The following is a 14,949-nucleotide window of genomic DNA, read 5'->3' as shown; positions in this document are numbered from 1 at the left end:
AAAAAGAACAGAGGCTTCAGAATTAACACCACACATCTACAACCATCTGATCTTCGACAAACCTGACAAAAACAAACAATGAGTAAAGGATTCCCTATTTAATAAATGGTGCTGGGAAAATTGGCTTAACCATATGCAGAAAACAGAAACTGGACCCCTTCCTTACATCTTATACAAAGATTAACTCAAGATGGATTAAAGAGTTAAACCTAAAACCTAAAACCATAAAAACCCTAGAATAAAACCTAGGCAATACCATTCAGGACATAGGCATGGGCAAAGACTTCATAACTAAAACACCAAAAGCAATTGCAAGAAAAGCCAAAATTGACAAATGGAATCTAATTAAACTAAAGAGCTTCTGTACAGCAAAGGAAACTATCATCAGAGTGAACAGGCAACCTACAGAATGGGAGAAAATTTTTGCAATCTATCCATCTGACAAAGGTCTAATACCCAGAATCTACAAAGAACTTAAATTTACAAGAAAAAAACAAACAACCCCATCAAAAGAAGACATTTATGCAGCCAACAAACATAGGAAAAAAAGTTCATCATCACTGGTCGTTAGAGAAATGCAAATCAAAACCACGATGAGACACCATCTCATGCCAGTTAGAATGACAATCATTAAAAAGTCAGGAAACAGGCCAGGTGTGGTAGCTCATGCCTGTAATCCCAGCACTTTGGGAGGCCAAGTCAGGCAGATCATGAGGTCGGGAGATCAAGACCATCCTGGCTAACACGGTGAAACCCCATCTCTACTAAAAATACGAAACATTAGCCAGGCGTGGTGGCAGGTGCCTGTAGTCCCAGCTACTTGGGAGGCTGAGGCAGGAGAATGGCGTGAACCCGGGAGGTGGAGATTGCAGTGAGCCAAGATCGCACCACTGCACTACATGCTGGGCGACACAGCAAGACTCTGTCTCAAAAATAAAAAAAAAAAAAGGAAACAGCAGATGCTGGAGAGGATGTGAAGAAATAGGAATGCTTTTGCACTGTTGGTGGGAGTGTAAATTACTTCAACCATTGTGGAAGACAGTGTGGCAATTCCTCAAGGATCTAGAACCAGAAATACCACTCGACCCAGCAATCCCATTACTGGATATATACCCAAATGATTATAAATCATTCTACTATAAAGACACATGCACATATATGTCTATTGCAGCACTATTTACAATAGCAAAGACTTGGAACCAACCCAAATGCCCATCAATGAAACACTGGATAAAGAGAATGTCGCACATATACACCATGGAATACTATGCAGCAATAAAAAAGGATGAGTTCATGTCCTTTGACATGGATGAAGCTGGAAACCATCATCCTCAGCAAACTAACACAGGAACAGAAAACCGAACACCACATGTTCTCACTCTTAAGTGGGAGTTGAACAGTGAGAACACATGGACTCTAGGAGGGGAACATCATACACCAGGGCCTGTCAGGGGATTGGGGGAAAGGGGAGGGAGAGCATTAAGACAAATACCTAATGCATGTGAAGCTTAAAACCTAGCTGACGGGTTGATGCGTGCAGCAAACCACCATGGCACATGTATACCTATGTAACAAACCTGCATGTTCTGTACACCTATCCCAGAACTTAAAGTAAAATTTTTAAAAAAAGAAAAAAAAATTTTCATCTCCAAAAATGGGGGATATTCTTATATTGCATGTACTTCACCATCACTGTTCCTTTCCTAACCCAAGTCTTAACTCATTTTATTGTTAGTGCCTGTTTAATTGCATCCTTGTTGCACTATAATCTACGATTCCAATATTCCGATCCCAGTTCCCAGGGCAAGCTTAATTTACATTTGATAAGCAAACTTATTAATGTATGAAGTATATGTCTCCATGAAAGGTGACAAAATAAACATAAATAGAAATCCCACTTTATGCAAGTCTTCTTTTGAAAAAGTATCATTGATTAGAAAGTGAAGTTCCAATATAAAATTTTTATAGCTACAGATCCTACTTACTCTACAAATATTTTATCCAATATAGTTTAAAAGCATTAGGCATAATTTACTAAAAATCCACAGCAAACAATGATAGAGCATTATTTTTATTTTGGCAACATAAGGAGGAACTTTGTCACTTGACAAAGTACCATAGTACCATAGTACCATTTGGTAGTACTCAAGAGAAATCTGCCTATGTTTGTAAGCATATTTTTGAAGTTTGTCAGCTTACAAATTGGATTTTTCAAAGTCAGGGTACTTGTTGGTGTCAAAATATTGCAGGAAGAGAGATTGTTGCTTCTAATATTGGAGAAGAATGTGGTGTTCCTGGAAAGGGATTGAAGGGCCAGCATAAAGAAAAAAGAACGATAAGGAAGATTCAAATGCTTTCAGTGCATGCTCTGTCACATCTGTGTTATCTCTGCTTAAAACATAATCTTATTTAAAGTGTTCTAAACTCATGAGAGTTTTATAAAGAGCAAAAGATCATAGTTACTCTAAAAATAAAAGCCCTCAGAAAATTTTGGGAAGTTTGGGAGAGTTTGGAAAACAGCAGGCACTATAATTGGTTGGATACAGAACCATATTAACCAGATTTGGAAGGTCAAGATAAAGCTCCAGCTGATATCTTGACAGCATTGCCTTAGGCAAAGTCTTCTACAGGAAACTCTTTCCTTTCCTTACCCATCCTCTCCCCTTTAGTCCTCCAGGGTTGCTTCTTAGCTTTACTGAGGTGGCAAATTAAATGCCACTTTCCCAGGAAGCCTTCAGTTAGCTCCTTGATAATCAATTGCATAACACACTATTTTTTTCATAGACCTTATTCCAGTTTCATTTTCATGGTTACCTTGCAGTTTGTTTTGTTTTGTTTTGGGGGGTTTGTTTGTTTGTTTGTTTTGTTTTTGAGACGGAGTGTTACTCTGTTGCCAGGCTGGAGTGCAGTGGCGCGATTTCAGCTCACTGCAAACTCCGCCTCCCGAGTTCAAGCGATTCTCCTGCCTCAGCCTCCCGAATAGCTGGCATTACAGGCACGTGTCACCATGCCCAGCTAATTTTTGTATTTTTGTTTTTTAGGTTCATCTTTTCTAACAGCAATGAGTTCAGGGTGGGTATATACCGTTTATTTCTAGTTTTCTCCCTATACTTAGCAACTAGCACTGCATGTGATATTCAGTACTTGCACATCAAAAATGTAACAAACTGGTAAATAAACAACTGAGGGACACTGAAAGGATAGACACTCAAAGGACAGAAGACATACAGTGCATTATCTTACTAATTATGCCTCTGCTTCTGAAGAGTTATAAACAACAACTCATTCTCTAACGTTTAATACTATATTTAAAATGATCACCACATTTGGACTTAAAAGACCCTTCTACAATATCCTTCCTCATCTCACTGAATTCATTTATTTATTTTGATGTAAGTTTGAACAGAGGACATAGTTTCCTACTACAGAGTATACAACCCAATGCCTGCTATAATGCAGTGAAATAGGAAGTATAATACCATGAGTTCACACAACGTTTTCTAGACTCAAAATGCAAAAATTCCTTATTTCCAGAAAAAGAATGGTATGGGCCATTTAGAGTGAAGCCATGGGAAATGAAGTTCAGTATTTTAGTGCAAATAATTTAAACAATTTGGTTAAGGTTTTATCTGGAAGATATATCTCAAAATTATGAAAATGTTTCATATACAGAAATGCAGATATAATAACAATGTGTTATTATTTGTGTATCCATGTGAGCCATAGAAAATTTTACAGCTGTGTTTTTTCTGTAGACTGAGACTCCAGTGTTAGGCAGTTCAAACTATTTCTTGATGCAACTACACAACCAGAGAACTGGGCTTTCATCTACTTTCCACATCACCTTTAAAGTGTGCCCTTTGTCTTTGTGTTGTATTTGCATGTCTACACATCTCTTCCACATGTTAAGAGGATGGCATATAGGGTGCAATTTAAAAATTTGCCTCATTACAGCTTGATCAACACGCATGCATCTCAGCTACATTCTTGGAAGGGAATAAGCTATGTGTCCATCTACAGGAAGGCTCAGAGATTAATGCGTTATTAGCAACCAAAAAAAAAAGCTGGCTGACATAAACATTTCTTGAATATGTTCATGCCTATCTTAATCCAGTAAAGTATTTATTTAAAAGTAGTTTCAAATGTACTACACAAATGATATATTCTGCAGCAAAGGCACTGAAGCATAGATTGACTAAAGGACTCACCTTATACTGCTACTGGGTAATGGCCAAGTTGCGACTTTATAGACATATGTTTCATGTATGTATGTAGACATATATTCCATAGTATTTTACATAATGCAAAATGTCGTACAAATATTTAATCAAAAGAAAATGTGAGAAGAGCCCATAAAAAATCCTCTTATTAAAAGATGCTACTTTTTACCAAAAAAAAAATTCATCACAGTGTCACTTAAATTTTTTTTTAATAATCATAAAATATTTACTCCCAGAGCCTTTGCTAGAACTTTCTTTAATGCCCCTTTCACCTCCTTGATCCTCAAGGTATAAATAAGAGGGTTAAGCATGCGGGTTACCACAGTGTAGAAGAGAGAAACAAACTTGCCCTGGTCCCTGGATCTACTCTTGGCTGGCTGCAGATACATGAAGATGATGGTTCCATAAAAGATGGTGACCACTGTCAGGTGGGAGAAGCAGGTCCCGAATGCTTTCTGTCTCCTGGTAGCTGACTTAATCCTCAACACTGCGTGGGCAATGTAGCCAGAGGAGACCAGGATGAATGAGACAGGCACTATAAGGAAAAGGATACTAGCCACAAAAAGCTCAGCCTCGTTAAACGTGGTGCCCACACAAGCCAGCTTGATGAGCACAGGGACCTCGCAGATGAAATGATCCACTTGGCGATGCCCACAGAAGGGCAGCTGCAGGGTGAGGGTGGACTGTACCAGGGTGGTGGCTATTCCACTGAGCCATGCCATAGATGCCAAGGCCATGCAGAGATGGATATGCATTAAGACAGTGTAATGGAGAGGACGGCAGACAGCCACATAGCGGTCACAGGACATCACAGCCGGGAGGACGCACTCAGTGGATCCCAGGGCATGGGAGTTGTAAAGGTGAACCAAACAGCCACCATAGGCGATAGTTTTCATGGGTTCCCACAGGTTTACCAGGAGCTGGGGAATAACACTGCTGGTGAAGCAGCGGTACAGGAAGGAGAGATGAGAAAGGAAGAAATACATCGGCATATGAAGCTTGGGTTCCAGACGAGAAACCAGAATGATGGTGGTATTCCCCAAAATAGTTAGTAAATACAGAATCAATATGAGCACAAATAGAACCTTCTGTAACTGAGGATAATCAGAAAACCCTAAAAGGATGAAACCTGCTAGGTTGCTCTCATTGGTATGTCTCACCATCCCCATATGTAAAGTGTGTTCCCCAAGGCTGAGGCATAGCTGAGAAAGATAACACATCACATAGGGTTAAATGAGTGACAATGTCACCTGCCTACCCAAAAAAGTATTGTATGTTAAATGCTTAGAAGCTATGTCTTTACATCCAGTGACTTAGATCTATTTATTTTCCGAATATGTGCATTATAAATAAATGCAATACACATCCTTCAAATATCTTAGCTGTTCTTCAATGCTTTCCGAAGCAGAGAAGAGCAAGAGCAGACATTAGGAAACATCATCATCTTTTGCAGGAAATAAATTTGACCCTTCCTTTAAAATAAATTTCCCCTTTTATATTAATGTATTTCAAGTTACAGAAAAAGGGAGTCTCGAGATACCATCTCACACCAGTTAGAATGGCGATCATTGAAAGTCAGGAAACAACAGGTGCTGGAAAGGATGTGGAGAAATAGGAACACTTTTACACTGTTGGTGGGACTGTAAACTAGTTCAACCATTGTGGAAGTTGGTGTGGCGATTCCTCAGGGATCTAGAACTAGAAATACCATCTGACCCAGCCATCCCATTACAGGGTATATACCCAAAGGATTATAAATCATGCTGCTATAAAGACACATGCACACGTATGTTTATTGGGGCACTATTCACAATAGCAAAGACTTGGAACCAACCCAAATGTCCAACAATGTTAGACTGGATTAAGAAAATGTGGCACATAGACACCATGGAATACTATGCAGCCATAAAAAAGGATGAGTTCATGTCCTTTGTAGGGACGTGGATGAAGCTGGAAATCATCATTCTCAGCAAACTATCTCAAGGACAAAAAACCAAACACCGCATATTCCCACTCATAGGTGGGAATTGAACAATGAGAACACATGGACACAGGAAGGGGAACATCACACACCGGGGACTGTTGTGGGGTGGGGGGACGGGGGAGGGATAGCATTAGGAGATATACCTAACGCTAAGTGACGAGTTAATGGGTGCAGCACACCAACATGACACATGTATACAAATGTAACGAACCTGCACATTGTGCACATGTACCCTAAAACTTAAAGTATAATAATAATTAAAAAAAGAAAAAGGTTTTAATAATCACAAGACCTATTTGTGTACATTGGAAAGGAATCAAAATTTTAAAAATGGGTATTAAATATGTCACTCCATCAGTTACTAACAGTGATAAAAAAAAAAAAAGAACTAATGTGCAGCCTAAATTACTTCTCAAATACTGGATCCCTAAAAGGCTAAAAGAAAATAGTTTATGAAGAAAAGGGCAAAGAAGAAAGAACAACAATGGCACTTAAATAATAAAAGAAATCCCAGCGACTTGGGAGGCCAAGGTGGGAGGACAGCTTGAGGCCAGGAGTTTGAGACCAGCCCTTGCAACATAGCAAGACACTGACTCTCCAAAAAAAATTTAAAAATTGGCTGGTCATGGTCCCACGCACCTGTAGTCCCAGCTACTCAAGAGACTGAGGCAGAAGTGTCGCTTCACAGGAGTTCGAGGTTGCAGTGAGCTATGATCATGCCACTGCATTTCAGCCTGGGCAACAGAGTAAGACCCTATCTCTTAAAAAAAAGTAAATTCAAGTAACAAATAAAGGAATAAATAGTAAAATAATGAAAATAAAGTTAAAGAATTAAGACAAATCATGTCAGTATAGGCACACAATGATTGCTCATAGATGATTATAAATATGAGTGAAATAAATACATCAATCACTTAAGGGATGAGTGCTCCAATTAATAGAAAAAGGCATGTCATAGGCTAGGGTAAAAAAAAACTAAACTCAAATTTATACAGCCTGTTTGAAACAAACAATACAGTCAATTAAAGAAAGAAAAGAAAACATTTTTAAAAATTAAATTAGAAAAATTCAATATAATTTAATTTTGAGATAACAACAAAACTGACAAAACAGGACAATTTTATTGATTAAAGATTGAATCTACAATGAACATATGGATGTACTAAAATGTTATGTCCCAAGCAGGCAACAAATTGTGTAAATCAAAAACTGTTAGGACCAATTGCATAAAAATTAAAACATGTTTTTTAAAAAGAAACTGAAAGTGGAAAAAACCAAAATATGCCATCCAAAAAGAAGTCTCTTTTTAAAAATAGTTTAAACATTAATTTTAGTTTCAGGGTGTACATGTGCAGGTTTCTTACCTGGGTATATTGCATGATGCTGAGGTTTGGTGTATGATTGATCCTGTCACCCAGACACAGCATAGTACCCAGCAGTTACTTTTTCAGTCCTTTCCCTTCTCCCTTTCTCTGCCCTCTAGCAGTCCCTGCATCTGTTGTTCCCATCTTTATGTTCATGTGTACATATTGTTTAGCTCCCACTTATAAGTAAGAACATGCAGTGTTTAGTTTTCTGTGCCTGCATTAATTAAAGGCCCCCAGTTGCATCCATCTTGCTGCAAAGGAACACGACTTCATTATTTTTTATGGCTGCATAGTATTCCATGGCATATAGGAACCACAGTTTCTTTATTCAGTCTACCATTCCATTTCTTTGCTATGGTGAATAGTGCTGCAATGAATATATGAGTGCATGTATCTTTTTGGTAGAATGATTTCTTTTCCTCTGGATATATACCCAGCAATGGGATTGCTGGGTCAAATGGTAGCTCTGTTTAAGTTCTTTGAGAAATCTCTAACCTGCTTTTCACAGTGGCAGAACCAATTGACATTCCCACCAACAGCATTCTGTTTTCTCCACAGCCTTGCCAGCATCTGGTTTTTTTGTTTTTTTTTTTACTTTTTAATAATAGCCATTCTGGTATTTCACTGTGATTTTGATTTGCATTTCTCTGATGATTAGTGATGATGAGCATTTTTTCACATTCGTTGGCTACTTGTGTGTTTTCTTTTGAGAAGTGTCTGCTCATGTCGTTTGCCCATTTTTATATGGGGTTATTTGTTTTTTGCTTTTTGAGTTAAATTTCTTATGGATTCTGTATATTAGACCTTTGTCAGATGCATAGTTTGTGAACATTTTCTCCCATTTTGTAGGTTGTCTGTTTTCTCTGTTGATTGTTCCTTTTGCTTTACAGAAGCTCTTTAATTTAATTAGGTAATTTTTGGTTTTGTTGCAATTGCTTTGGAGGACTGAGTCATCAATTCCTTCCCAAGGCTGATGTCCAGAATAATATTCCCTAGGTTTTCTTGTAGGATTCTTACAGTTTGGCATCTTCCATGTAAATAATTCATCTTGAGTTAATTTCTTGTGTATGGTGAAATGTAGGAGTCCAGTTTTATTCTTCTACACATGGCTAGTCAGCTATCCCAGCACCATTTATAAAATAGGGAGTCCTTTTCTCATTGCTTACAAAAATATATCTCTTTAACATAAAAATTGTTTTGAACTGAGTGCAACTGGGAGGAGGCAGATAAAGAAAACGTTACCTGCCTTTCCTCAATTTGCCTAAAAGCAGGAGATAGATGTACAAAAGACAATTGTGTCCTCCTCCCCACACCAAGAAAGACAAAAATTAACAGCCAGGAGATGGCATCAGAGGAATCTATGAAACAACCCCTCCCAACTAGCTTTTATCTGCCATTTATTAGCCTTCCCACAATTTGCTGTCCCCAGAAACTTTTCCTTTGTCTTGTCCTTTTCCTTTGTCTTGTCCTTTTCCTTTGTCTTGTCCTTTTCCTTTGTCTTGTTATCCTCTAAAAATTTACCATTCTTCTTTGAAGCTGCTCCATAAGCTGGAGGCCTAGGTTACCTCTTTGGGAATTACTCATTCCCTGAGCATCTCTCGTGTATACATCTCTCGTGTATACATCTCTCGTGTATACTGAGCATCTCTCGTGTATACTGCAGTATACATTTTAATAAACTTGTTCATGTTTCTCTTGTGAATTTTTCTTTTGTTACCGGAGTCAGCCCCACCAGTAAACCTAAGAAAGGTAGATAAAAATAACTTCTCCTCCCCTACGAAAGCAAATTTTCAACTGTATTTCAAATATTAAACACAAATTTTAAAATGTGGGAAATATTTATAAGACAAAAAGCAAAGATTTAATAACCATGGCATTTTAAAATATCAGTAAGAGACAAATAAAAACCTGTATTGTAAATATATATGTGACAGATATAGAAAAAAAGAAAAGGAAGAAATACAAATAGGTCAAAAATATGAAAAGGCAAGCAATTTTTAGACAACTAAGCTATGTCCCTTCTAGGCCAATTTTGCTGGGGGTTTTAATCATAAAAGGATGCTGGATTTTGTCAAATGCTTTTTCTGTGTCTATCGAGATAATCGTGTGATTTTTGTTTTTAATTCTGTTTATGTGGCATATCACATTTACTGACTTACATATGTTAAACCATTCCTGCTTCCCTGGTATGAAACCCACTTGATCGTGGTGGATTATCTTTTTGACATGTTGTTGAATTTGGTTTGTTAGTTTTTTTTTTTTTCAGGATTTTTGCATCTATGTTCATCAGGAATATTGGTCTGTAGTTTTCTTTTTTTGTTATGTCCTTGCCTGGTTTTACTATTAGGGTGATACTGGCTTCATAGAATGATTTAGGGAGGATTCCCTCTTTCTCTATCTTGTGGAATAGTGTCAATAGGATTGGTACCAATTCTTTGAATGTGTGATAGAATTCAGCTGTGAATTCGTCTGGTCTTGGACTTTTTTTTTCGACAATTTTTAAATTACCATTTCAATCTTGCTGCTTGTTACTGGTCTGTTCCAAGATTCTATTTCTTCCTGGTTTAATCTGGGAGGTTGTATATTTCCAGGAATTTACCCATCTCCTCTAGGTTTTCTAGTTTATATGAGTAAAGATGCTCATAGTAGCCTTGAAAAGTCTTTTGTATTTCTGTGGTATCAGTTGTAGTATCTCCCATTTCATTTCTAATTGAACTAAATTGGATCTTTTCTCTTCTTTTCTTGGTTAATCTTACTAATGGTCTATCGATTTTATTTATCTTTTCAAAGAACCAGATTTTTGTCTCATTTATCTTTTGTATTTTTCTTTTTTTGTTTCAATTTTATTTAGTTCTGCTCTCATCTTCTATTTTCTTTTATTCTGCTGAGTTTGAGTTTGGATTGTTTTTGTTTCTCCAGTTCTGTGAGGTGTGACTTAGATTATCTATATGTGCTCTCTCAGACTTTTTGATGTAGGCATTTAATGCTCTGAACTTTCCTCTTAGAACCACTTTTGCTCTGTCCCAGAGGTTTTGATAGGTTGTGTCACTATTATCATTCAGTTCAAAGAATTTTTTAAATTTCCGTCTTGACGGTGTTGTTGACCCAATGATCATTCAGGAGCAGGTTATTTAATTTTTATATATTTGCATGGTTTTGAGAGCTCCTTTTGGAGTTAATGAAGGAGGTCTGCCCCTCCACATCTGTGGGTATTTCTCATCAGGTGGAGACAAGAGACTGAGAAAAGAGATAAGACACAGAGACAAAATATAGAGAAAGAACAGTGAGCCCAGGGGACCGGCACTCAATGTACGAGGACCTGCACCGGCACTGGTCTCTCAGTTCCCTCAGTATTTATTGATCACTATTTTTACTATCTTGGTGAACGGAGTGTGGCAGGGCAACAGGGTGATGGTGGGGAGAAGTTCAGCAGGGAAACATGTGAACAAAGCAATCTGTAACATGAATAAGTTCAAGGAAAGGTACTGTGTCTGGATGTGCACGTAGGCTAGATTTATGTTTCACTTTACATAAATATTTCAGTGTAGCAAAGAGTAACAGAGCAGTATTGCTGCCAGCATATCTCGCCTCCAGCCACAGGGCAGTTTCTCCTATCTCAGAATAGAACAAATGGTCGGCTTTACACCAAGACATTCCATTCCCAGGGATGAGCAGGAGATAGAAACCTTCCTCTTGTCTCAACCACACAGAGGCCTCCCTCTTTCACTACTCCTCCTCAGCACAGACCCTTCACAGGTGTGGGTCTGGGGGCTGTAAGGTCTTTCCTTTCCTAAAAGGCCATATCTCACGCTGTCTCACTGGGGGGAAATCTTGGACAATACCCAGGCTTTTTTGGGCAGAGGTCCCTGTGGCTTTCCACAGTGCATTGTGTCCCTGGTTAATCAAGAACGGAGAATGGCGATGACTTTTACCAGGCATACTGCCTGCAAACATATTGTTAACAAGGCACATCCCGCACAGCCCTAAATCCATTAAACCTTGATTCAAAACAGCATATGTTTCTGTGAGCACAGGGTTGGGGCTAAAGTTACAGATTAACAGCATCTCAAAGCAGAACAATTTTTCTTAGTACAGATCAAAATGGAGTTTCTTATGTCTTGCTTTTCTACATAGACACAGTAACAATCTGATCTCTCTTTTCCCCACAGTTAAATTCCAGCTTTATTCCACTGTGGTCTAAGAGAATACTTGACATAATTTTGAATTTCTTAAATTTGCTGAGGCTTGTTTCGTGGCCTATCACACTGTATGTCTTGGAGAATGTTCCATGTGCTGATGAATAGAATGCATATTCTACAGTTGTTGGGTAGAATGTTCTGCAAATATCTGTTAACTCCATTTGTTGTAGGGTATAGTTTAAGTCCATTGCTTCTTTGTTGACTTTCTATCCTGATGATCTGTCTAGTGCTGTCAGTGGAGTATTAAGGTCCCTCACTATTATTGTGTTGCCATGTATCTCATTTCTTAGGTCTAGTAATTGTTTTATAAATTTGGGAGTTCCACTGTTAGGGCCATATATATTTAGAATTGTGAAATTTTCCTGTTGGACAAGTCCTTTTATCATTATATAATGTCCTTCTTTGCCTTTTCTTTTTTTTTTTTTTTTTTTTTTTTGACAGAGTCTCACTCTGTTGCCAAGGCTGGAGGGTAATGGCACAATCTTGGCTCACTGCAACCTCCGCCTCCTGGGTTCAAGTTATTCTTCTGCCTCAGCCTCCCAAGTAGCTGGGATTACAGGTGCCCACCACCACACCCAGCTAATTTTTTTTTTATTTTTGGTAGAGACAGGGTTTCATTATGTTGCTTTAAAATTTGTATGATATAAGAATAGCTACTCCTGCTTGCTTTTGGTATACATTTGTGTGAAATATCTTTTTCCACTCCTTTACCTTAAGTTTATGTGGGTTTTTATGTGTTAGATGAGTCTCCTGAAGACAGCAGAAACTTGGTTGGTGAATTCTTATCCATTCTACCATTCTGTATCTTTTAAGTGGAGCATTTAGGCCATTTACATTCAATGTTAGTATTGAGATATGAGGTACTATTCTATGTGTTGTGCTATCTGTTGCCTGAATACCTTTTTCTTCCATTGTGTTGTAGTTTTATAGATCCTGTGACATTTATGTTTTAAGGAGGTTCTATTTTGGTATATTTTGAGGATTTGTGTCAAGATTTAGATTTCCTTTTAGCAGTTCTTGTAGTGCAAATTCTCTCAGCATCTGTTTGTCTGGAAAAAAATTGCATCTTTCCTTCATTTATGATGCTTAGTTTCACTGGATACAAAATTCTTGGCTGATAATTGCTTTGTTTAATGTCTTCAACAGTTTGGATGAGGCCCACATATTTTATGAAGGAGATTAATCTGCTTTACTCAAGGTCTACAGATTTAAATGCTAATCACATCTAAAATATACTTTCACAGCAACATCTAGACTCATGTTTGACCTAGCTGGGTACTATAGCCTAGAAAAGTTGACACATAAAATTAACTCTTATAGTTCATCCTTGACACTCATACACAACTCCTCAAACCATACTGAATCTTCAAATAAGGAAACTGACAAGTGCTATTTTCTCTTTGATATCCTATAACTTACATACTGTGATGTAAAAGTAATACATCTTATCTTACATCATAAGAGGATAAAAGAGGAAAGAAATCAAAGATATTTGCTTACTGTGTGTATATATATGCATATATGTATATGTAATACATAAAATAATTATGTAACATACATATAAATGTTTATATATGTCTATACATACATGCATTTATACAAACATATTCACAACAAAACAAAGAAGAAATATAACAATACAGTCCTCATTTCTGTAACTAGTCGCATGGTTGTAGCTGCCTTCTTTTATATTCTATGTTCCTTTGCCTTTGCAAGCATCTTGGTTGTAGTTCTTTACCTGGTGGGTCAACCCAGACCTTTATTCCTGAAGGGTCTGGGCCATTAATAGTCCTGTCTGAATTGGGTTGTTGTAGTTGTCCCCTGACTTTAATCACAGAGCATGACAGTACTGTGTGGAGTATTGGAGTAGCAGTCCAATTTGTCCTTTTTGGTCAGTATCAATTACCCCAACCACTATAGTAATTTCCCTTTTTACCTTTTGATCCAGAGGAACAAAGAGCTCAAAGTGGCCAGGTGGCCGTCTCAATTTCCAGTTTAACAGAAACGTTGTTTTGTCTCCTGACCTAAGCATTCTTCCCTCTGGAACCAAGACCTCTAGGCAAGCAGAGCTTAAGATCGTGAGGACAAAAATTGTTTGTCAGTGGATCACTAAGAGTAATAATGAATGATGCAAATCCCATTTCCATCCTTTGGTTCCTGGACCCATGAATCCTCACTATGTTGGAAACACCATATATTGGACATTGATTCAAAGCCTATATAGCATTATAGAGAACCTGTCTCAATCCTTCAAGGTTTTACCACCAAACTGATACTGCTACTGAGTCTTCCAAAGGCTATTCCACTATTCTTACAAGCCAGCTGCTTCAGGATCATGGGGAACATGGTAAGGCCAGTGAATTCATAATTCATGAGCATGAACTCATTGGCACACTCTGTTTTCTGTGAAGTGAGTTCCTTAACCAGAAGCAAAGCTGTGTAAAATAACATCGTGGTGGATAAGGCACTCTGTGAGTCCACAGACGGTACTTTTGCAGAACCGTAATGTGCAGAGAAGGCAAATTCACATCCAGAGTGTCTATTTCAGTAAGAACTACCTTCCGTGACAGAAGTGTTCCAGTGTAATCCACCTGCCACCTGGTAGCTGTCTGATCGCCCTGGGGAATGCTGCCATATCAGGGGCTCAATGTTTGTCTCTGCTGCTGGCAGATTGGGCAATCAGCAGTGACCGTAGTCAGGTCAGCCTTGAAGAATGGAAATTATGCATAATCTCCATCCCTGCCACCATACCTGTTCAGGAGCCCACTGTGTGATGACGGGGTGGCTGGGGAAAGAGGCTGACTGATATCCACACACTGTTGACTATTAGTTTCTCTGCTGACGTCACTCTTTGGTGAGCACTCACATAACACAATATCTTCAGGTTTTTAGCCTAAGAGAGGTCCATCCACATAATTCTTCCCCAGACCTCCTTGTCACCAATTGTCCAACCATATTCATTCCAAGTCTCTCACCATCCACCAAACCACTGGCCACAGCCCATGAATTGATAAAAAAAAATCACACATTTGGCCATTTCTGTTTCCAGGCAAAGCAAGGAACCAGATGTACTATTTGAAGTTCCACTCTGAGGGAGGATTTCTCTTCACCACTATTATTCATGGATGTCCCAGAAAGGGCCGTGGTGCTGCAGCTGTTCATTTTTTGGCAGTGCCCGA

At 38.3% G+C, this 14,949-nt stretch overlaps 1 protein-coding gene and 1 long non-coding RNA gene across 3 annotated transcripts in view; one reads left to right on the top strand and one right to left on the bottom strand.

Moving 5' to 3' along the window:
• LOC102724446 (uncharacterized) overlaps positions 1 to 14,949 on the top strand; it is a 75,216-nt gene that overhangs the window by 47,106 nt on the left and 13,161 nt on the right. The gene's annotated exons all lie outside the window — the stretch shown is intronic.
• OR2G2 (olfactory receptor family 2 subfamily G member 2) lies at positions 4,436 to 5,389 on the bottom strand. Its single transcript, NM_001001915.1, has one exon. The coding sequence runs from the start codon at positions 5,387 to 5,389 to the stop codon at positions 4,436 to 4,438; it is 954 nt and encodes a 317-aa protein (NP_001001915.1).

This window comes from Homo sapiens, chromosome 1 (genome assembly GCF_000001405.40).
Source record: "Homo sapiens chromosome 1, GRCh38.p14 Primary Assembly".
In the NCBI taxonomy this organism is placed as follows: Eukaryota; Metazoa; Chordata; class Mammalia; order Primates; family Hominidae; genus Homo; species Homo sapiens.
Note: the sequence above shows the minus strand (reverse complement) of the source record. Positions and strands in the feature narration are given on the sequence as shown.

What these genes read in the sequence shown, in the direction of transcription:
- OR2G2 (NM_001001915.1), bottom strand. Translation starts at nt 5,389, where the DNA reads ATGGGGATGGTGAGACATACCAATGAGAGCAACCTAGCAGGTTTCATC.